General features: G+C 51.6%; 2 protein-coding genes across 5 annotated transcripts in view, besides 4 other annotated features; one reads left to right on the forward strand and one right to left on the reverse strand.

Moving 5' to 3' along the window:
- Nucleotides 122-416: a silencer, noted in NCBI's record as "tiled region #2927; K562 Repressive non-DNase unmatched - State 7:EnhWF". NCBI's record gives its function as "represses a minimal TATA promoter and a strong SV40 promoter by Sharpr-MPRA in K562 cells {active_cell/tissue: K562}" and the evidence as "EXISTENCE:reporter gene assay evidence [ECO:0000049][PMID:27701403]".
- TNNC1 (troponin C1, slow skeletal and cardiac type) lies at nt 1,209-4,150 on the reverse strand. Its single transcript, NM_003280.3, has 6 exons — nt 4,101-4,150; nt 2,592-2,622; nt 2,215-2,361; nt 1,853-1,967; nt 1,500-1,636; nt 1,209-1,415 (listed from the first exon to the last, which is right to left on the reverse strand). The coding sequence occupies exons 1-6, from the start codon at nt 4,122-4,124 to the stop codon at nt 1,384-1,386; spliced, it is 486 nt and encodes a 161-aa protein (NP_003271.1). The 5' UTR covers nt 4,125-4,150; the 3' UTR covers nt 1,209-1,383.
- Nucleotides 2,192-3,012: an enhancer, noted in NCBI's record as "H3K4me1 hESC enhancer chr3:52486099-52486919 (GRCh37/hg19 assembly coordinates)". NCBI's record gives its function as "activates a minimal SCP1, AML or CMV promoter by ChIP-STARR-seq in primed H9 embryonic stem cells {active_cell/tissue: H9 hESC(primed)}" and the evidence as "EXISTENCE:reporter gene assay evidence [ECO:0000049][PMID:30033119]".
- Nucleotides 5,638-5,867: a silencer, noted in NCBI's record as "silent region_14444". NCBI's record gives its function as "represses an Ori minimal core promoter by ATAC-STARR-seq in GM12878 lymphoblastoid cells {active_cell/tissue: GM12878}" and the evidence as "EXISTENCE:reporter gene assay evidence [ECO:0000049][PMID:35858748]".
- Nucleotides 5,713-20,921, forward strand: part of NISCH (nischarin) — a 37,465-nt gene continuing 22,256 nt past the window's right edge. For all 4 annotated transcript variants that reach the window (NM_007184.4, XM_047447373.1, NM_001276293.2 and 1 more), the window contains exons 1-3: nt 5,713-5,843; nt 7,952-8,035; nt 8,771-8,953. In NM_007184.4, coding sequence (NP_009115.3) covers nt 5,751-5,843; nt 7,952-8,035; nt 8,771-8,953 — 360 coding nt within the window. In that variant the 5' untranslated portion in view covers nt 5,713-5,750. The remainder of the gene's footprint in view (nt 5,844-7,951; nt 8,036-8,770; nt 8,954-20,921) is intronic.
- Nucleotides 6,692-7,367: an enhancer, noted in NCBI's record as "H3K27ac-H3K4me1 hESC enhancer chr3:52490599-52491274 (GRCh37/hg19 assembly coordinates)". NCBI's record gives its function as "activates a minimal SCP1, AML or CMV promoter by ChIP-STARR-seq in primed H9 embryonic stem cells {active_cell/tissue: H9 hESC(primed)}" and the evidence as "EXISTENCE:reporter gene assay evidence [ECO:0000049][PMID:30033119]".

Below are 20,921 nucleotides of genomic sequence, written 5' to 3' on the forward strand. Positions count from 1 at the left end.
TGCTGCCCGATGTGGCGCTTCCTTTTATCCTCGGATGTCACCCTTCCTGGGTCACTCTGGGTGTCTGTAGAGGTCCCCAATTCTCCAGCTCACAAGGGCAGGCCTGAAGGGACTCCTCTCTGCTCCCCTCAGGTCTCTCCAGGGACCAGAAAGCTCTTGCTAGCGCTGGCCTCCATCAGAGGCATTTTTAGAATTCCAAGACCATCTCTGGAATGCCAGGCCTGTCTGGGGAATGCCAAGGCTGGGGCACAGGTGCAGAGAGAGTGGAGTGGCTGGGCGGGGCAAGGTCAGCTGACGGCATTCTGGCTACAGCCTGGGTGCTGCTGGCAGCTGTCCCTCCTGCGAACACCTCTGCTGACACTTCCACTTCCTTGCAGCCCCCAACGCCCACGCCTCCAAGACAGCATCACTGTCTGGCGGCAGCTCTGGACTGGGTGCTCCCACTAAGCTGAGAGCTGCCAGGCCTTGGGCCTCCATCCCTGCCAGGGAGAGAGACTGGGCCACAAGAGATGAGCCTCTGAGGTTCACGGGAACTGGAAATCATGTCCATTTGGATGTGGCCCATCCGACAGGGCCCTTGGCTGGAAGCCAGTTGGCTCTGCTCTCCCCCACACTCACTGGATGACCTTGACAGGTCCCTGCACCTCTCTGGGCCAAACAGGTGAGGGGAGATAGAGCCGACTCCATGCCCCTCTGTCCCTGGGAGTCAATGTTGCTGGCAGGAAATACAAGCAAGTGGGCGGGTGGACTAGCACTGTGAGCCTGCAGGGACCCCACAGGCTCAGCTCCATTCCAGCCACGGCTGAGAGGTAACAGGGGTTGCTGTGCCAGGGAGCATCCAAGGGCCTGGCTGTGTACCACAGTGAACCACTCTCTCCAAGTAGAGGACCCCTAGGCTGCCACAGTGGTTGACCAAAGTGATGGCCCCCAGGAACTTGTGGGGGTTCTAGGCCCCCACAGACTCCAGATGCTGAATCCCTAGAGATGGTGCCTGGGCCTGAGGAGTGATAGAGGGCAGCAAGCAGGGCAGGCCACACGGCAGTCTCCGATCTCATCTCACCCCCCTGCAGAAGGCAGTGTGGAGCGGTGGTCAGGCGCCAGGCTCTGCAGCCAGCCTGCCTAGGACAGGGAAGGAAGCGGCCATTGGGTAAGAGTGGGTCCTGGGGATGAGTCCACGGCCCAGGGACACCAGAGCCAGATAGCAGACCTTGGGAGAGCAGGCTTTATTTGCATCCCCCAGGACAGATCTGGGGAGGGAGTCGGGGGATTTGGGGTTGAGGACATGGCCAGGCTCAGGTCCTGGGACCCCGACCCCCTCCCCAACCCCAGGACTCAGCTGGAGTTGGAGGCTGGGCATAGGCAGCTCTGGGTGAAGGTCAGCATCTACTCCACACCCTTCATGAACTCCAGGAACTCTGTGGAAAGAGGGGCAGGTGTGGGTTGAGGGTAGGGGCTGGGCAGGGCATGGAGGCAGGAGATCAGCCCACCCACCCGCTTACCATCATAGTCGATGCGGCCGTCGTTGTTCTTGTCTCCGTCCTTCATGAGCTCCTCGATGTCGTCCTCCGTGATGGTCTCGCCTGTAGCCTGCAGCATTATCTTCAGCTCATCCAGGTCGATGTAGCCATCAGCATTTCTGTGGGGAGGGGGCTCAGGGTAGGGCTGTGGGGAGGGCATGAGGCAGCCCCACCCATGCCCCAGGAGGCAGAGCAGGGACACTGGGAGATGGGGCATCCCTCTCCCCTATCAGGCAGAGGCCACAGGGTCCCTAGGCCTGGAATCTGAGACTGCCCTCCTGTACAGCTCGGCTTGAGTGTGGGTCAGGGTCAGAGGTCAAGGGTCACGTGCTCACTTGTCAAACATGCGGAAGAGGTCAGACAGCTCCTCCTCAGATTTCCCTTTGCTGTCGTCCTTCATGCACCGAACCATCATGACCAGGAACTCATCAAAGTCCACCGTGCCGCTGCCTGGGGGTGGGCAGCATGGCCGTTACAGAGGCCAGGGTAGGTACTGCAGGCAGCACCTTCGACACGAACCCCCATGTTCTCACCGCATCCTCACACCAAACGCCAGGCTTGTGTAGCCCTTATGCCCATTTTATAGATGAGGCAACCAAGGCTCGGATAGGCTAAATTGCTCCCAGCTAAACAGAGCCAGCATTCCAGCCCCCAGCCAGCTGGGGTTCTTCTGGAGCCTGGGGAGGAGGGGGCTCACCGTCCTCGTCCACCTCATCGATCATCTCCTGCAGCTCCTCAGGGGTGGGGTTCTGGCCCAGCATCCTCATCACCTTGCCCAGCTCCTTGGTGCTGATGCAGCCATCCTCAGCGCCCAGCACGAAGATGTCGAAGGCTGCCTTGAACTCTGTGTTCAGGGGTTGGGGGGCACAGTAGTCAGGGCTCAGCAGCCAGGACCACGGAGGGCCAGAACCCTGGGGCCACCTGCCAACCTGCCCACCTCCCTCGGAGACCTCTCTGAGGGCAGAGCAAGAGGGACCAAGCCTCTGGTCTCTGGCCTGGGGTCCTCTTCTGATAAGGGGTCCCCATGCCAGCCTGGACCCGCTGGTCTCCCACATGTGTGATAGGGATTCTCACCATTTTTCTGCTCTTCTGTCAGCTGCTCTACCTAGAAAGGAAAGGGAATCTCAAGGCTCAGACTCAGGTATAGCTGCTGCTGAGGAAACCAACCCATTCCACAGGTGAGAAGGCTGGAGCTGGAGGAGGCAGGCTATTTCCAGGCCACAGAGTGGAGGTCTCAGTCCTCCCTCCCTGCCCCCAAAGCCCTGACGTGACCCAGCTGGCCTCACTGCGACTGGGCTCAGGGCCAGGGTGACAGGTGGGCACCCCCTTCAGGACCAAGGTGACCCTCAGTAACAATAGTCAGTGACCACTCAATGCCCTTTCGGCCCCTGATGAAACTCAAGCTGGGTGGCCCGAAGGACAGCTGTCCCTCAAGTTGGGATAATAAAACCAGTGTGGAGGCAGGCAAGCCACCCACGGTAACCTGACCAGGGTGGCCACTGGGCTATTTTTAACGAGGAACAAAGTTAAACCTGGTGATTGTTCTGGGGACTTTGGCATGCAGGGGGTGGGGCAGCGTTATCTGGCCCCCTGGCCTGCTAGTGCCGCCTCAGAAGCCAAAATTAGTCCCCAACTCCGCCAGGCCTTGTATGGGCACTGGGTGGAGGGCTGTCCCAACCCCGGCTCCATGGACTCCCACAGGATAAGCAGGCGTGCCCCCAGAGCTGGCTATAGCACTTCCCTGCCCAGGAGTGAGGGAGGCTGAGGGAGGGGTTCCCCTGGGGACAGCTGGCCATGCCAGGATGTCCTTGCTCTGGGGTTGGGGGAGGTCACCACCACCCAGGATAGAATAGCATCTGAAGACCCTCAGTGACCCAGGAGGTTGCAGGGGCTTGGGGTGACCACTCTCCAGCCCTCATTCCCTCGCTCTCACCCCTAGCTAAGCCACTGAGCCCTGAGCCTGCCAGGCATGATGGGAGCTGGGGCCCCAGTTCTCTGTTCCTTCTTCCTTGGTTCTCCCTCATGTCCAGAACTTCCCTGCCTCAAACTTCAAAGCCCCATCTCCAGCCCAGGACTCAGGCTCTACAGACCCCTCCTCTCACACCCTCCACCCTCCAAAGCATCTTCGGCCCGCCAAGGGGCTGGAGTGGGGTGGCAGATTTTGAGCATGTGAGAAGCAGAATGTGAGGGGCAGAAATGGGGGTTGGGGACAGGGAGACAGTAATGGGGACTCAGACAGCTCAGGAGGAAGAGATGAAAAGAGAAAGGCAAAAACGTCCAGAGACAAATGCAGAGACATGTGGCTGAGCGACAGTGCCACAGACCACAGACACTTGGAAACAGAGAGTGAGACACGATGCTGAAAGCTGCAACCTCCTCCACCACCCTTCAGACCCGGAACCCCCTACCCCTTCTGCATCCTCAAACACCAGAATCACTGTCCCTGTGAGGGCCTGGGTTGAAGGCACGTAGGCCTTCTCCTTGGTCCCCACCACTTCCCTGGGGCTACTAACCCCGCACTCTCAGCTGAGTGAGCCCCCAGTGGGCCTGCCCACCCCAGCCCTACCCAGCCCTGTCCCTCACCGCAGCCTTGTAGATGTCATCCATGCTGGCGGCTCACAGGACAGCTTGCTGGGGTTGCCAGCCGGCCCTTGACTTAAATAGCCCTGCCCCGCTGCATTCCTGGCCCAGCCCAGCCCAGCCCAGCCCACCCCTGCGTGTAGTATCCTCCAGCCCCTCCTCTGGTCCCAGTGATCTCAGGCTGGCCTGAGTCCCCACGTCCTCTGCCCAGGGCAGGGAGCAGACGAACGGCTACAAGGACCAGGTTTCTTTCCCTCCTGTCCCCCACACTCCCCAAAGGGACTCTCTGAAAAGGTTTCTGGAATGAATGAAAACATAAGCCCAGTGCAGGACAGGAGCTACAAAGTCGTGGGCCCCAGGCAAGGTGCAACACAACAGCTCAGGCTCCCATCCAACCAGGTTGGCGGGTTGCCATGACCTCCACTTTCCAGATAAGGAAACTGAGGCTCTGGAGGAGTGGTGACTTGCCCAAGATCTGACTGACTTGGTAACCCCCGCCTTTAACTAAACCTCTCTGGAATGGGGGTGCAATGTGCAAGGAGAGGCTAGGAGTGCAGGGCCCTGCCAAGAGAAGCCTCGAATGCCAAGCTCATAGTAAGATGCTGTGGAACTGGTGAAGGAGGAAGTGACTGACCCACCTTAGGACAGGGTGGCCAGGAGCCCTTCTGCCAGAGGAGCCTGTCCCAGACCTCCCATCTGCCCAGGGAGAAGTACCCACTTCGGGCTTAAGTCAGCTGCTCTCAGTTATTCAACAGCACCCCTATAGATGCCCCATCTGTGGCAGGCTCTTTCCCTCCTCACCCTCCAATTAGGTTACCACCTCCCTCTTCTAGGTCTCATCTTTCCCCGGTTTAGGATTCAGCACTGTAGTTCCTGGGTCCAGATCAACCTGTCTCCCTCGTTTTGAACTTTGGCAGGCCACCCCGTGGGGTTCTTGTGCTCAGTGGCAGCACACACCCCTCCATCCACCTACACCTTCCTTCGTACAGAGTTCGTATCAAGTTTATCCCTCTTGATAAACACGCTCCCTGCCTCGAGCACTACTGCGTGCTGGGCCGCGCATCAATCAACCCACTCAGTTGTCCAGAAGCCCCACTGACAAGAGATCTCCGAATCTCAGAGAGGTTCAGAACTGGCCCAGAATCACTCTCGCCCTGCTCCGGCGGTAAGCACAGGTCCTATTTTCCCCTCCAACCTGCCTTGCCCTAAAGAGAAAGAGCCCAACAGCCAGGTGAGGCACTATTATGGCCTCCTTTATCAGGAGGAGTAAACTGAGGCCAGGAAGAGCAGTGACTTGCTTCGTGTGGCCTGGGAGACTCGGGACCTTCTGTCCCCTCTTCCCGAGGACCCAGGGGCGATGCCCAGAGCTGTCACCACCCGGGGTCTCAGTTTCTAGCAGGCTGTGCAGGGTACCGCCGGCGGCGCCACGCAGGTAGATTACGCAAGCGAGCACCTCGCACGCGCGCCCTGAGTGGCCCCTGTCAGTCACGCGCGGGGGCGGGGCGAGGGCGCAGGAAGAAGGCGGGGCCAAGATGGCGGCGCAGCGCGCGGCGGGGGCGACGGGCGGCGGGGGCCGGGGGGCGGTGGGACGTTGACCCCGCCCCCTGCTGCTGCTAGTCTGCGCCGGGCGGCGGTGGCGGCGGAGACCCGAACATGGCGACCGCGCGCACCTTCGGGCCCGAGCGGGAAGCCGAGCCGGCCAAGGAAGCGCGCGTCGTGGGCTCGGAGCTTGTGGACACTTATACGGTGTGTTGGGGGCGCGGGCACCCGAAGCGGGGGTGGTGGCTGGAACCGGGAGTCCGACTCGGGGGCTTGGGGAGGGGTCCGGGATCTGCAGCCCCGAGGAGCGGGTAGAAGGGTCTGCGATTGCGAGGAGGGGGCTGGGACGGGGGATCTAGGAAAGGGATCTGGGCCCCGCAGGTCCGGGAGAAGGGTTGCTCGGGGCCCGGGGAGGCGGTTTGGAAAAGGGTACGCGATCAGAAAGGGAGGCTCGGGTTGGGGGCGGCATCTGGGGATAAAGGGGGCTTGGGGAGGGGGGTGTCTAGATGAGGCGGAACCCCTCTAGATCCTCTAGGACTGGAGGGGCCCCGGCCTGGAAGACCGTTACAGGGGTCCAGGAGGAAGGCGATGGGGAGAGGGTCTCTGATGGATGGAATCAGGGAAAAGGGTCAGGCTTCGCAGGCCTTGAAGAAAGAGAAGGCGTCAGGACCCTGATCTGGGGAGCCTGAGGTGGTGGTTGAGATTTTCTCTGAGAAGTGCAGGAGAGACCTGGGGAGCAGATGCCTTGGGGGTCGGGCGGAGACAAGACCGGAGGAGGGGTGGAGCCCATCTATGGAGAAATGGGGGTGGTCTCAGTGCTAAAGCGCAGGCCCTATAAGCCTTAGGAATCTTCGTGACTTTGGGCTGTGGGAGCGAGATGGGGCAACAAGCTGCCCACACACACTTCTAAGCTATGGGGGAGACAGAGGACAAATAGCGGGTAGTTCCCGACTTTGACGGGGTTGGATGCCAGGCCTGTGAGCCTGGTGGGCTGCCTGGCAAAAACCGGCCCTGGACTAGGCATAGAGCACCTCCCTGCCTCCTCCCCTTTGTTCCCGCAGGGTAGGGAGTGGGTGGGGGCCTTGGGCCTGCCTGCACCTCCCCTCCCTGGCCCTCATCCTAACCTTCCGCTCTGAGGGCCATTCTTCTGGCTCTTTTCTCCTTTCCTGAAGGCAAGGGGAAGGAATCAGGCAGGATGGGAAGAGGAGAGGGGTGGATCTTGAAGCAACAGGCCAGCCTGGAGAAATGGCTGCTCCTCAGGGCTGGAGGAGGCTTCAGCTCCATGCTGCAGAGAGGAGGGGGAAACTAGGTGCAGGAGGCGGGTGAGGTCTCTAAGCTGATGGCTGACTGGCCATCAGCTATGGGCACATTCAGCCAGAGGGCCATCTTCAAAAAGCTCACCCTATTCTGGACTGCGCCCCTCCTCTGCATGTATGTCGGGGGAGGTGGTGATCTAGTTTGGACCCTACCATCCTCTGTCTCCGGGTGTGCCGAGTTGGACATTATTAACACACCTACCTTTTGAACACTTGCCATGGGTCAGGCCCATGTACAAAGCATTTTACATGCATTGCCTTACTTGGTCCTTGATTCTAAGATGGAGGAACTAAGGCTCAGAGAGAACTTAGGCTCCAAGTTACTTATATAAGTGACACATAAGCTGCAGCCAGGAAATGGCAGAACCAGGTTTTTAACCCAGGCCTTCCTTAACCTCTAGGCCATATTGCCTCCTGATAGAGCTTAGTTGCTACCACTCCCTCCCCACATCAGCTGCTTGTGCCTTGATTCCTGGCTCAGCAGCAGAAATCACAGCCATGAACCAGTTGAAAGGGTTGGAAAATGACTTGCTTCCAGGAGGTAGTCAGGGCACCTGGAAAGAAGTACAACAGAGAAGATGCTCAGGCTAGAACTGGCCCTGCTCTGCCTCCCTTGGAAGAAATGGCCTTGCCTGCAGCTCCGGTTGGGTTTTGAGTTACCTAGAGGCAGGAGGTAAAAAACTAAAGAGGTGACTTGTGGTAATCACCTTTTTCATTCCTTACTGATGGATGGAGCCACATGCTTGTCTCATGTGCCTCCCAGCCCTAGTGCTTGGGCCATGGAGGAAGCTGAGAGGGGCCCTGCTGGTCAGCAAGGGTCAGGTGCAGAGGCTGGTGGGCAAGGGCAGCCTGACTTTGGCCTTGGGGTGGGTCTGAGTTGCAGAGAGAAAGACTGATAAAAGATAATTGGGAAAGATAATTGCAGCTTTTGCTGCTGGGGGAGGAGACTCCTTGTTGCTGGGCTCCCTTGCCACAAGGGCTGTTGGTTTCCCCTTTTAGGTTTACATCATCCAGGTCACTGATGGCAGCCATGAGTGGACAGTAAAGCACCGCTACAGCGACTTCCATGACCTGCATGAAAAGGTAACTGTTAAGAGCTGGGAGCACGTATCTCAGGGCTGGGGGACCCGTAGGCCAACTTTCCATTGTGCCACATATTAGTTTTAGGGCAAAACAGGTTCCATCTCTATAGTTCTTTAATAAACCACTTTGTTAATATAACTGCGTTCATTAATATAGCATGTAAATGCTAGCCTTCAGCTCTAGCATGAGCCACTCTGCAAGGAGCATATTTGAATTTCAGTTTTAATATTTCCAGTCCTAGCTTGGGTATGAGATGCTCAGACAGTTTCCTGGGAAGGGGACAGGTTTGAACTTGTTTGATCTAGCGATAGCTATTCCAAAGCCTTACTTTAATATCTGGCTGTGATTCCATCTCTTTTTTTTGCTTTTGGAGATGCTGTCTTTCTCTGGGTCATTTGCAGCATAACTGTTTTAAAGACACACCGCTGCCCTGATTGGTTTTTACTCTGGCTTGGAAAAGATGGCAATTTTAGGGGCAAAAGGTGTTACTTTTCTGAATGTCTCTAAAGTCTCCAGATGGAATTCCTTGTCTAGAATTGTATTGGTATTTCTAATGCTAATTGGATTTAAAGAGGCCAAATCCCAGGTGCACTAGTTTGGTCACTGATTTTGGTACTACTGCAGGGAGGGGCTGTGCAAGTGCTGACAAGCGCCTGCCCTCAAGCTTCTTGCCTTGGTCTTACATAGGCACAGAGCCTCTTAGTCTGTGGTTGATGTGCTTATGTTTTTTTACAGCTCGTTGCAGAGAGAAAGATTGATAAAAATCTGCTTCCGCCCAAAAAGATAATTGGGAAAAACTCAAGAAGCTTGGTGGAGAAGAGGGAGAAGGATCTGGAGGTCTACCTCCAGAAGCTCCTGGCTGCCTTCCCTGGCGTGACCCCCAGAGTACTGGCCCACTTCTTGCATTTTCACTTCTATGTAAGTTCCTCATCGGGTTTTCACCTGTGCCTGCAAACCCACAACTGCCAAACTTGAGGCAGCAAACCAGGGGAGACCTCAGCTTTGAGGTGGGCTGGGGTTTGACCCTAGGTTAGAAGATGGAGGAACGTCACCCTGGTTAGGAATGCATTGTGGCCAGAAGCATGTTAGTTGACAGATTTGCCGTAAATTAGACTAAATGTGGCCACAGAGATGCTTTCCTCCACCACAAGGCATTTTGTTTAGCAAAAATGGCCTGTGGGTGTTTAAGCTAGGTTTCCATCCAGATGGATGAGGCTGGATTAGAAATAGCTGACACCTGGGATAGACTATTGTTGAGTTGTTGGTGCATAGCCCAAAACTAATTAAGGGATTAGTCTGTGATGGTGGAATATCACCATCTTGGGGCGTGTCATCAGGGTCCGCGCTGCCAGGGTGCTAAGGTTGAGGGTGGACACCTTCCTGTGATGGGAGAGTGTGTCATAGAACAGCTCTGTACTCCGTCCTTGAAAGAGGAACAACTTTCATAGGTTGCCGGTGACAGAATGCGTTGTCAGACTTTAAGAAGGGCACTTAGGCAGTGTGAAACCACAATATTTGTGCTTTTGAGACGGAGTCTTGCTCTGTCACCTAGGCTGGAGTGCAGTGGTGCGATCTCGGCTCACTACAACCTCCGCCTCTTGGGTTCAAGCAATTCTCCTGCCTCAGCCTCCCGAGTAGCTGGGACTACAGACTTGCACCACCACACCCAGCTAATTTTTGTATTTTTAGTAGAGATGGGGTTTCACCATGTTGGCCAGACTGGTCTGGAACTCCTGACCTCAAGTGATCTGCCTGCCTCAGCCTCCCAAAGTGCTGGGATTACAGGCGTGTGCCACCGCACCTGGCCAAAACCACAATATTAAATAGCAGTTCTATTTATGAGAATTTCTTCTAAGGAAAAATCAGGCAGCCGCAAAAAGGATATATGAACAAAGGTAGTCATTCCAGGATTGTAACAAAATAGTAAGGACAACCCTAAAGTCTAGTAGAAGAGGTTAAAAAAAAAAAATCAGGCCAGGTGCAGTGGCTCATGCCTGTAATCCCAGCACTTTGAGAGGCTGAGGTGGGCAGATCACTTGAGGTCAGGAGTTCAAGACCATCCTGGCTAACATGGTGAAACCCTGTCTCTACTAAGAATACAAAAATTAGCTGGGTATGGTGGCAGATGCCTGTAATCCCAGCTATTTGGGAGGCTGAGGCAGGAGAATCGCTTGAACCCAAGAAGCAGAGGTTGCAGTAAGTCGAGATCATGTCACTGCACTCCAGCCTGGGCAACAGAGTGAGAGTAAGACTTCATCTCAAAAAAAAAAAAAAAAAAAAAAAAAATCAAAGGGTACAGCCAGGCTGAGCACAGTGGCTCATGCCTGTGATCCCAGCTCTTTGGGAAAATAAAACAAAAAAGAAATCTGCAGCTCCACCATCATTATCCCAGCAGCACACCAGTCTTCCCAGCAGACACTGTCTCAAAAAAAATGCAACTTTCTTAAGCAGTATCCAACTGTATGGCTGTACTATTTTTTTTTTTTTTTTTTTGAGACAGGGTCTCACTCCATTGCTCAGGCTGGAGGACAGTGGCCTGATCATGGGTCACTGCAACCTCAAACTCCTGGGCTCAAGGGATCTTCCTGCCTCAACTTCCCAAGTAGCTGGAACTACAGGTGCATGCCACCACACCCAGCTAATTTTAAAAATTTTTTTGTAGAGATGGGGTCTTGCAGTATTGCTCAGGTTGGCCTCAAACTCGAACTCAAGCCATCCTCCCACCTCTGCCTCTCAAAGTGCTTAGACTGTAGGTGTGAGCCACTGCACCTGGCTGACTATGGTCTCATTTTTACAAAAAACAAGTTGATATGGACATATTTGTCTAGGAAAATTCTAGAAGGTTTACGTATACCAAAATGCTAAGAGTAGTTTTCTCTGAGTGATAGATTTTCAGATAATTTATATTTACTTGTTTTCCTTTTATATGATGAAGACAGGGAAGAATCCACTCCCTTTTCAGGCTCACCTTGAAGTAACCTGTGGATTATGGTCCTAAAAGCCCAGCTGTATTTAAAATACAACTTTCTTGGCCAGGTGCAGTGGCTCACGCCTGTAATCCCAGCACTTTGGGAAGGCCCAGACAGGCAGATCACTTGAGGCCAGGAGTTCGAGACCAGCCTGGCCAACATAGCGAAACCCTGTCGCTACTAAAAATACAAAAATTAGCTGCGCGTGGTGACTCATGCCTGTAGTCCCAGCTACTCAGGAGAGAGGCATGAGAGTCGCTTGAACCTGGGAAGGGGAGGTTGCAGTGAGCCGAGGTTATGCCACTGCACTTCAGCATGGGCCACAGAGACTCTGTCTCAAAGAAAAAAACAAAAACAGAAGAAACAACTTCCTTAAACTCTTTTCAGAGTAAGACAGTTGAACCTTTCTTGGATCACTAAAGAGCCTAGAAATTTGGTGGCGAGTGCTAACCTGGGGCCACTGAGCTTGGCAGGGACAGGTGGAAAAGTAGATAGCATTCACAGATGGGACCTGTGTATATGCTTTGGATTTTATTTAGCATATACCAGCAAGTATAGGGTTAGCAACATACCCTTTCGTAAACATATTTTTATACTTTCTTATGTGAGAAAAAATTTGCATTCCTTATGCAAGTCTTTCAGATAAACTTTACTGGTTAGTATTTTAAGAAATAATGTACTTTAAAGGCCGGGCGCAGTGGCTCACGCCTGTAATCCCAGCACTTTGGGAGGCCGAGGCGGGTGGATCACGAGGTCAGGAGATCGAGACCATCCTGGCTAACACGGTGAAACCCCGTCTCTACTAAAAATACAAAAAATTAGCCAGGCATGGTGGTGGGCTCCTGTAGTCCTAGCTACTCGGGAGGCTGAGGCAGGAGAATGGCGTGAACCCGGGAGGCAGAGCTTGCAGTGAGCCAAGATCGTGTCACTGCACTCTAGCCTGGGCGACAGAGCAAGACTCCGTCACAAAAAAAAAAAAAAAAGAAATATTGTATTTTAAGAAAGCTTTGGTTAGCCATTTAGGGATGAAACCTGACATGCAGTCCTTTGACGGTATTAATTCCTTGCTTGAGACCTATGCCTTTGAGGAGAGGAGGTCTCGCTGGCTGCCTCACGTGTGCCTGGCTCTGAGGGTGGAAAGGCCTGGACTGCTCTTTTGAAACTGGTTTGCCTGAGATGTGCCTGGGGCCGGCTACATCTGGTTCTGGTTTGAGGCAGGCTCCGCTACTTGTAGAAGTTTTGACATATTTGGAATTAGTATTATCAAACAGGTCCCTAGGTTATATAAATCCTAGGATTTAAAAAAGCAATTGAACCCATCGTTGGATTAAACCCACAGTTGATCAGCCATAGCACTGTTGACATTTTGGACTGGATAATTTGTTTCTGTAAGGAGCTGTCCCATGCATTGTTTAGCAGCACCCTGGCTTCTACCCACTGGATGCCAGTAGCACTTCCCCACCCAGCTATGGCAACTAAAGATGTCTCCAGACATTGCCAAATGTCCCACTGGGGGGCAAAATTGCCCCCCACTTGAAAACCACTGGATTAGATCTTCATTTGGGGCCTAAAGATTTGTCAGCCTTTTCTCCAGGCTGGGAGCTCTCTGGGGAATGTTTCTCTTAACTTTTATACTGTCTGTATCCTCTCTGAAATTGTTCCACATGTGTTCTGCCTCTTGTGTTGCTGACATTGGATAGGGTGGACCCAGGGAACCCTATTTGGCTATGGTGTGAATTTTTTTATTTTTATTTTTTGAGACGGAGTTTCGTTCTTACTGGCCAGGCTGGAGTGCAGTGGTACGATCTCGGCTCACTGCAACCTCCACCTCCCAGGTTCAAGTGATTCTCCTGCCTCAGCCTCCCGAGTAGCTGGGATTACAGATGGCCCGCCACCACACCCAGCTAATTTTTTGTATTTTTAGTAGAGACGGGGTTTCACTATGTTGGTGAGGCTGGTCTCAAACGCTTGACCTCGTGATCCACCTGCCTCAGCCTCCCAAAGTGCTGGGATTACAGGCATGAGCCACCACGCCTGGCCATGGTGTGGATTTTTAAAAATTGAGATATAATTTACATACCATAAAATTAACTTTTTAATGTGTACAATTCAGTAGTTTTTAGTATATTCACAAAGTTGAGCGACCATCACCACTATCTAATTCCAGAACATTTCATCAGCCCAAAAAGGAACCTGTACCTGTTAGCAGGAGCTTCCCATCCCTCTGTCCCCCAGCCCCTGGCAGTCACTAATCTACTTTCTGTCCTTATGGATTTGCCTGTTCTGGACATTTCATATAAATAGAATCATACAGTGTGTGGCCTTTTGTGACTGGCTTCTTTCATTTAGCCTTATCTTTTCAAGGTCCGTTCATATTGTAGCATGAATCCATTGGTCCTTTTATGACGGAGTAATAGTGTATTATTTGGATATGCCACATTATGTTTATTTATTAGCAGTTGATGGATGTTAGGTTTGTTTCCATTTTTGGCCATTGCAAATGATGCTGCTATGAGCATTTGTATGTTAATTTTTGTGTGAACTTATGTTTTCATTTTTGTTGGATATATAGCCAAAAGTGGAACCTGAGTTATATGGTAACTATGTTTGACTTTTTGAGAAACTAACAAATTGTTCTCCACAGTTGTTGCACCATTTGACGTTTCCATCGGCAGTGTATAGGTTCTAATTTCCCCACATTCTTGCTTAACACTTCTTGTCCATTTTTTTTTAAATCTTAGTTGTTCTGGTGGGTGTGAAGTGGTATCTCATTGTGGTTTTAATTTACATTTCCCTAATGACTAATGTTATTGAACCTCTTTTTTTTTTTTTTTTTTTTTTTTTCTGAGACAGAGTCTCGCTCTGTCGCACAGGCTGGGGTGCAGGCATGTGATCCCGGCTCACTGCAACCTCTGTCTCCTGGGTTCAAGCGATTCTCGTGCCTCAGCCTCCCGAGTAGCTGGGACTACAGGCGTGCACCACCACGCCTGGCTAATTTTTGTATTTTTTTCATTAGAGACGGGGTTTCACCATGTCGGCCAGGATGGTCTCGAACTTCTGGCCTCAAGTGATTCGCCCACCTTGGCCTCCCAAAGTGCTGAGATTACAGGTGTGAGCCACCACACCTGGCCTGAGCCTCTTTTCATATGATATTTGGCCATTTGTGTATTTTCTTTGGAGAAAAGTATCCAATTCTTTGTCTTTTTAAAAATCAGATTGGGCCGGGCGCGGGTGGCTCATGCCTGTAATCCCAGCACTTTGGAAGGCTGAGGTGGGCGGATCACTTGAGGCCTGGAGTTCGAGACCAGCCTGGCCAACATGGAGAAACCCTGTCTCTACTAAAAATACAGAAATTAGCCGGGCATGGTGGTGTGTGCCTGTAATCTCAGCTCCTCGGGAGGCTGACGCACAAGAATGGCTTAAATCTGAGAGGCGAAGATTGCAATGAGTGAGACCACACCACTGCACTCCAGCCTGGGTGACAGAGTAAGACTGTCTAAAAAAACAAAAAAAACAAAAAAAACAGATTATCTTTGTTGTTGAGTTGTAAGAGTTCTTTATATATTCTGGCTACTAGACTTTTAGAAACATGCAAATACTTTTTCACATTCTGTGAGTTGTCTTTTTTTTTTTTTTTTTTTTTTTTTGAGACAGATTCTTGCTCTGTTGCCCAAGCTGGAGTATAGTGGCGTGATCTCGACTCACTGCAACCTCCACCCCTGGGGTTCAAGCGATTCTCGTGCCTCGGCCTCCCAAGTAGCTGGGACTACAGGCGTACGCAACCACGTCTGGCTGATTTTTGTATTTTTAGTAGAGATGGGGTTTTACCATGTTGGCCAGGCTGGTCTTGAACTCCTGACCTTAGGTGATACACCTGTCTCAGCCTCCCAAAGTGCCGGCATTACAGCCTGAGCCACCACATCCGGCCTGCCCAGCTAATTTTTCTATTTTTAGTAGAGACAGGGTTTTACTATGTTGGCCAGGCTGGTCTCGAACTCCTGACCTTAGGTGATCCACCTGCCTCAGCCTCCCAAATTGATGGGATAACAGGCGTAAGCCACCATGCCCGGCCATCTTTTCATTTTCTTGATGGTCTTCATTGAAGCACAAAAGATTTAGATTTTGATTAAGTTCAATTTATCAATTTCTTTGGTCACTTGTGTTTTGGTATCATACATGAGAAACCATTGCCCAATCCAAGGTCACAAAGATTTATAACAATATATTCCTGTATGGATTTTGTTTGTTTTTTGAGACAGGGTCTTGCTCTATTGCCTAGGCTGGAGTGCAGTGGCACCATCTCGGCTCACTGCAGCCTCAACCTCCCAGGCTCAAGCACTCCTCCCACCTCAACCCCCCAAGTAGCTGGGACTACAGGCATATGCCACCGTACTTGGCTAATTTTTGTACTTTTTGTGGAGATGGGGTTTCTCCATGTTGCCCAGGCTGGTCTCGAACTCCTGGGCTCAAGTGATCCACCCACCTCGGCCTCCCAAAGCGCTCGGTTTACAGGCGTGAGCCACCACACCCAGCCTGCAGTGTGGATTTTAATAACAAGGAAAGAAAGCACTACTTGTTTACCAGCCCACTTTAGGTGGGAGCGCAGGGGTTGCCGCCTGTATGAGTGAGGGGCACACTGTGGCACTGGCCTGTTGCTATGCTGCTCTTCAGATTGCTGTGTCCTGACCCTCCTGGACGCGTGGTGACAGGCCTCATCCCAGAACCCCTGGAACAGAGGTTTCCAAACTCAGTGAAATGGAATCCCATCCGGAATTCTAGCACACCATGTGGGCCGGGACCTCCAACTGTGGTGGACTTGGAGGCAGGCAGAGGCGAGTTTATCTCCCACCCCTACTTCCCAACGGTTTAGTCCAAGTCAGTCATTTAACCTGCCTGTGAGCTGGAGGCTGGTGAGCTGGGGTCCTTGTGAGGCCTGCAAGAGACTGTGCAGTGAAGGTCAATGGCTTAGAAGAGTGTTGGGCCTGAGGTTAGGGCTGACCATGTGCTAGCCATTACTAGGTGGTTCGGGAAAGAAAAGGAATTCATTTCTCTTGAAAGGTGTTTATATTGTTGTCTTCTTTTAAAGTTAGTTGGCTAGAACAAAGATCCTTTTCAAAATTTGGAATCAGGGGCTATGTTGAACTGTTACAATCTTAGCATTGGCTTTAGCATCCAATTTATTTCCATAATTTGTTTTAGTTGCAAAGTACTGAGGCTGTGAATTACAACAGATTTTCTTTTGAACTTACAGTCTTGCAACTCTCTTCAGTTAAAGCTGAGGTTTGAATCCATCAATGGGGAATTTTAGCTTAAAGTTGAATCACACATATTATGCCTGACTCCTGCTAGAATGCCTCATACCAACATAAATTAAAGTGAGACGAGGAGGGCCGGGCATGGTGACTCACGCCTGTAATCCCAGCACTTTGGGAGGCTGAGGCAGATGGATCACAAGGTCAGGAGTTCAAGACCAGCCTGGCCAACATGGTGAAACCCCTTCTTCACTAAAGATACAAAAAATTAGCCAGGCATGGTGGCACCCACCTGTAATCCCAGCTACTCCAGAGACTCAGGCAGGAGAATTGCTTGAACCCAGGAGGCGGAGGTTGTAGTGAGCCGAGATCGCGCCATTGCACTCAGCATGGGTGACAGGGCAAGACTCCATCTCAAAAAAAAAAAAAAAAAATAGTGAGACAAGGATTCCAGCTCTTAGCATGTGTGTCTCAGCCACACTTGGGGATGGCCTCAGTGACATGTAATTCACTCGCTGGTTAGTGCCCCACAGATAAGCACGCTGCCTGGGTGTGTGCCAAGCCGAAGCATCTAGGCCTGGCCTGGGGTTTGCATTGAGTGTAGGTGTATGTGTTTTGAAGTATACTTGGTTGCAGGGCATGTGCGCAGGCATTCTTAGTGAGAATTTAAGTTGCAGGACCACAGCCCAGCTAGTGTTTACATGAAGCTCAAACCTTTGCCCACGGCTACACACCAACACAGAATCCCGGCAGGTGGTGGGCAGGTGGTGCGGCTGATCTCTTGGTCAGTAACACACTGGGAGGGTGAGTGTTAACAGTTTGTAAACATAGCTGACACTAAGTTTCTTTTTCTTTTTTTTTTTTTTTTTTGAGACAGAGTCTCACTCTTGTTGCCCAGGCTGGAGTGCAATGATGCAATCTCGGCTCACTGCAACCTCCACCTCCTGGGTTCAAGTGATTCTCCTGCCTCAGACTCCAGAGTAGCTGGTAGTACAGGCATGTGCCACCATGCCTGGCTAATTTTTGTATTTTTAGTAGAGACGGGGTTTCACCATGTTGGCCAGGCTGGTCTTGAACTCCTGACCTCAAGTGATCCGCCCGCCTCGGCCTCCCAAAGGGCTGGGATGATGGGTGAGCCATGGTGCCCAGCCGAGAATGTCCTTCAAAAAAATACATTTCAATTCAGACATTTATGGCACCCCAAAGCAATTCAAGTCCCTTCAGCACAGATGGGGTAGGGCATGTGGGCTCGGGCCACTCACACCCCACCCCGCCTCCTCCTGGCGTGGGGAGGCCTGACTCTGCCCACCTTTACTCATGAGCCCACCGTTTGACCAGCGAACTCTCTGAGGAGGCCCATGTGCTAGGTTTGGGGGCTGAGGCATTTCTGTGCTCTTCTCTGGTTCAGTCTCCCTCCCAAGGTGAAAAACAGCCTGGAAAACCAAGTAGAAAGTGTTGCAGCAGTATGTACTTCTGTGCCCTAAAGAGCAAAATTGTTACACAAATTGCTTTGAGATTCCTTAGAAGTGAAAGCTTTCTCTTTGCTTAGCAGGAGCCGGTGGCCCTTACTTTCTCTCAACTTTCCATGTGTTCCAGAAATTCCAGCCCTATCCCCTTAGAGGGGCTGTCATCCAGGAAGGTGATTTCATTTTTCTTTTAGAGAGACAGGGTCTTGCTGTGTTGCCCAGGCTCGACTCTGAACTTAGGGGCTCAAGTGATCCTTCTGCCTCAGCCTCCCAAGTAGCTGGGACTACATGCCTAGCCCAGGGTGATTTTTTTTCTCTGTGTTCTTTCTGAGCTGACACCAGCTACTTGAAGAAATGTGCCATTGGCCGAGCGTGGTGGCTCACGCCTGTAATCCCAGCACTTTGGGAGGCCAAGGTAGGCGGATCACTTGAGGTCAAGAGTTCAAGACCAGCCTGGCTAACATGGTGAAACCCATCTCTACTAAAAATACAAAAATTAGCCGGGTGTGGTGGTGCAGGCCTGTGATCCTAGCTACTCAGGAGGCTGAGGCAGGAGAATCACTTGAACCCAGGAGGTGGAGGGTGCAGTGAGCCAGGATCACGCCACTGCACTCCAGCCTGGGAGACAGAGCGAGACCCCGTCTCAAAAAAAAGAAGTGTGCCGTTGAAAATGAGGTTTGTTCAGTACTGATCGTGGGGAACCCTTTCTCCTGAGATAACTGTAAGAGCCTTGTGTCCTGAGAGGCCCTGGAGCTATTCTTGGGGAATTGAGGTGGGCAGAGATTGGCAGCCCCTGGGACCTGCTTGGCTCCAGGCGATCTGACAGCAGGGAGGATTGCGAAGTACAGATCTGTAGACGGGGCGTGGTTTTCAAAACCATCCGTGGAGGCTCTTCCTAATCTTCAGTTCTTCACAGCTGCCAAGGAAAATGTCATTTAGCTTATGTGGTTGCAAGAGACTGAAGTTGAACTTCAGAGCACACCCACCACCTCTGCCCTCACTTCCAGCCGGAGCCCTGTCCTGCTCTGTGCCTGCCGTGCCCCTCTCCTTGCCCTTTTCCATTCGGCCCTGCACCCTGCCGGTCCCTTAAAGCTGTGGCTCTGTGTGCTCATTTTGCTCCCTTTGCTTTTTGTCCACGGGATACAGGGAGGAGTTATTCTCGTGCTGTATATAAACTGAATTTCAAGCAGATTAAATGAATAAACACATTTTTTAAAGAACCAAAAGAAAATTAAGAGAATATTTTTATAATTGTGGAGTGAGAGAAGAGGCCCAAGAAGTCATGAAGGATAAAAAAAAATTAGAGGTTAAACAATGTAAAAATGAAAAACCTCTGTCAGAAAAAGCACCATGAACAAAGGTAAAAGGTATATGCAGACTGGGAGGAAATGTTTACAACATATAAACCACCATTAAAATGGCCACAGTGTATAAAAGATAAGAAAGAGACAAACAACCCAAGAGAAAAACAGGAAAAGGACACCCTGTCTCCTGTGTCTTTAGAATCCCATAAACACGTGAATTGCTTGTCCTGGTGGAAGCGATGTTCCCAATGTTCCTGTGAGTTATGAGGATTATGCAGCCTCCATCTGGAGCTGTTTACGAAAAGGCCTGTTGGCTGCCATCTGTCGATGAGTTAAAATTCCTACCTGTGGGATGTGGGGGTGGGGGGCTGAGGGCCTTGGGGGCACTGCCAACCCCACAGTTATTACACTGAACTGCTGAGGCAACGGGTTTCATATGCAGAGGCCCAAGGCCAAGGGCTTGAGTGTGGCTTTGCTGGTTTTTAGCCATGTAAAATTGAGGGTGTCGGCGCTTGTCCACCTCAGGTTGTTCATTTGTGAAACGGAGCTCAAGATAGAAGCTTCCGTTGCTGGGTGCAGTGGTTCACACCTGCAATCCCAACAACTTGGGAGGCCGAGGTGGGGGGATCTCTTGAGGCCAGAAGTTCAAGACCACCCTGGGCAACATAGTGAGACCCTGTCTCTACAAAATATTTTCTTAAAAATTAGTTGGTTGGCTAGGGGCAGTGGCTCATGCCTGTAATCCTGGCACTTTGGGTGGCTGAGGCAGGGTGGATAACTTGAGGACAGGAGTTTGAGATCAGCCTGGCCAACATGGTGAAACCCTGTCTCTACTAAAAATGCAGGAATTAGCTGGGCATCTTGGCACATGCCTGTACTACCAACTACTTGGGAGGCTGAGGCAGGAGAATCTCTTGAACCTGGGAGGCAGAGGTGGCGGTGAGCCGAGATTACACCACTGCACTCTAGCCTGGGCAACAGAGCAAGACTCCGTCTCAAAAAAGAAAAAAAAAAAAAAAAGCAGGTTGTGCTGATGCACACCTATAGTCCCAGCTACTTGGGAGGTTGAGGCAGGAGGATTACTTGGGCCCAGGAGTTCCAAGCTGCAGTGAGCTATGGTCATACCATTGCACTCCAGCCTGAGTGACAGAGCAAGACCCTGTCTCTATTTAAAAAAAAAAAAAAAAAAAGCAGTTATCGCTTTTCCTCTTGTAGGATGTTGGGAGGATTCAGGAGCCTTCAGTGGCTCAGGGCATGACCCAGTATGAATTAGGATCCAAGCGTGTTGTTTGTATGACTGGGGGCTTGGCCTTGTCCTGCCCTTCATCACATCATTTAAAAAGGAAATCCTTCCCGCTTCTTTCTTGGGACCCTGGGGCTGAGTGTTACTGTTGTGAATCTGGAAGGGATGAACACAAGAAGAAAACAAGTGTTCACTCTTTTCCTGAGACACATTTGAAACGTGAGAGGAAGTGGAAATGGTCATTCCCAGGGAGGGTTAGCTCTGGGTGGTCCTTCATCCCACCAGGGTGATAAGAGCCTCTCTTCCAGAAAAAACAGGACTTTTCTCTCTGCCACACCCTCTCCTAGGAACACCCAGAGCCAGTTTTGGGAGCTGCTGGCTTCCCAAAAGCCCTTAGAGTAATGCAGCTCTGCTGGCCTCCTGGGCTACAGTGCCCTTGGCCCTATGGACTGGAGTCGCAGCATTAGGCTGATTTCCCTTCTGCTTTGGAGGAGACATTTCAGGTATCCACATAACTAGAATACTTAGTTTCCCTTTCTAAGCTTCTTGCTTCATTGTAGGTTTATGCCCTCCTTTCTTTAGTTTAACTTCCTAGAGAGATGGCACTGGCACAACAGAGGGGATAGATAGCGGGGAATGTGACCCCAGGGAC

Source organism: Homo sapiens, chromosome 3, assembly GCF_000001405.40.
Source record: "Homo sapiens chromosome 3, GRCh38.p14 Primary Assembly".
NCBI classification, from domain to species: Eukaryota; Metazoa; Chordata; class Mammalia; order Primates; family Hominidae; genus Homo; species Homo sapiens.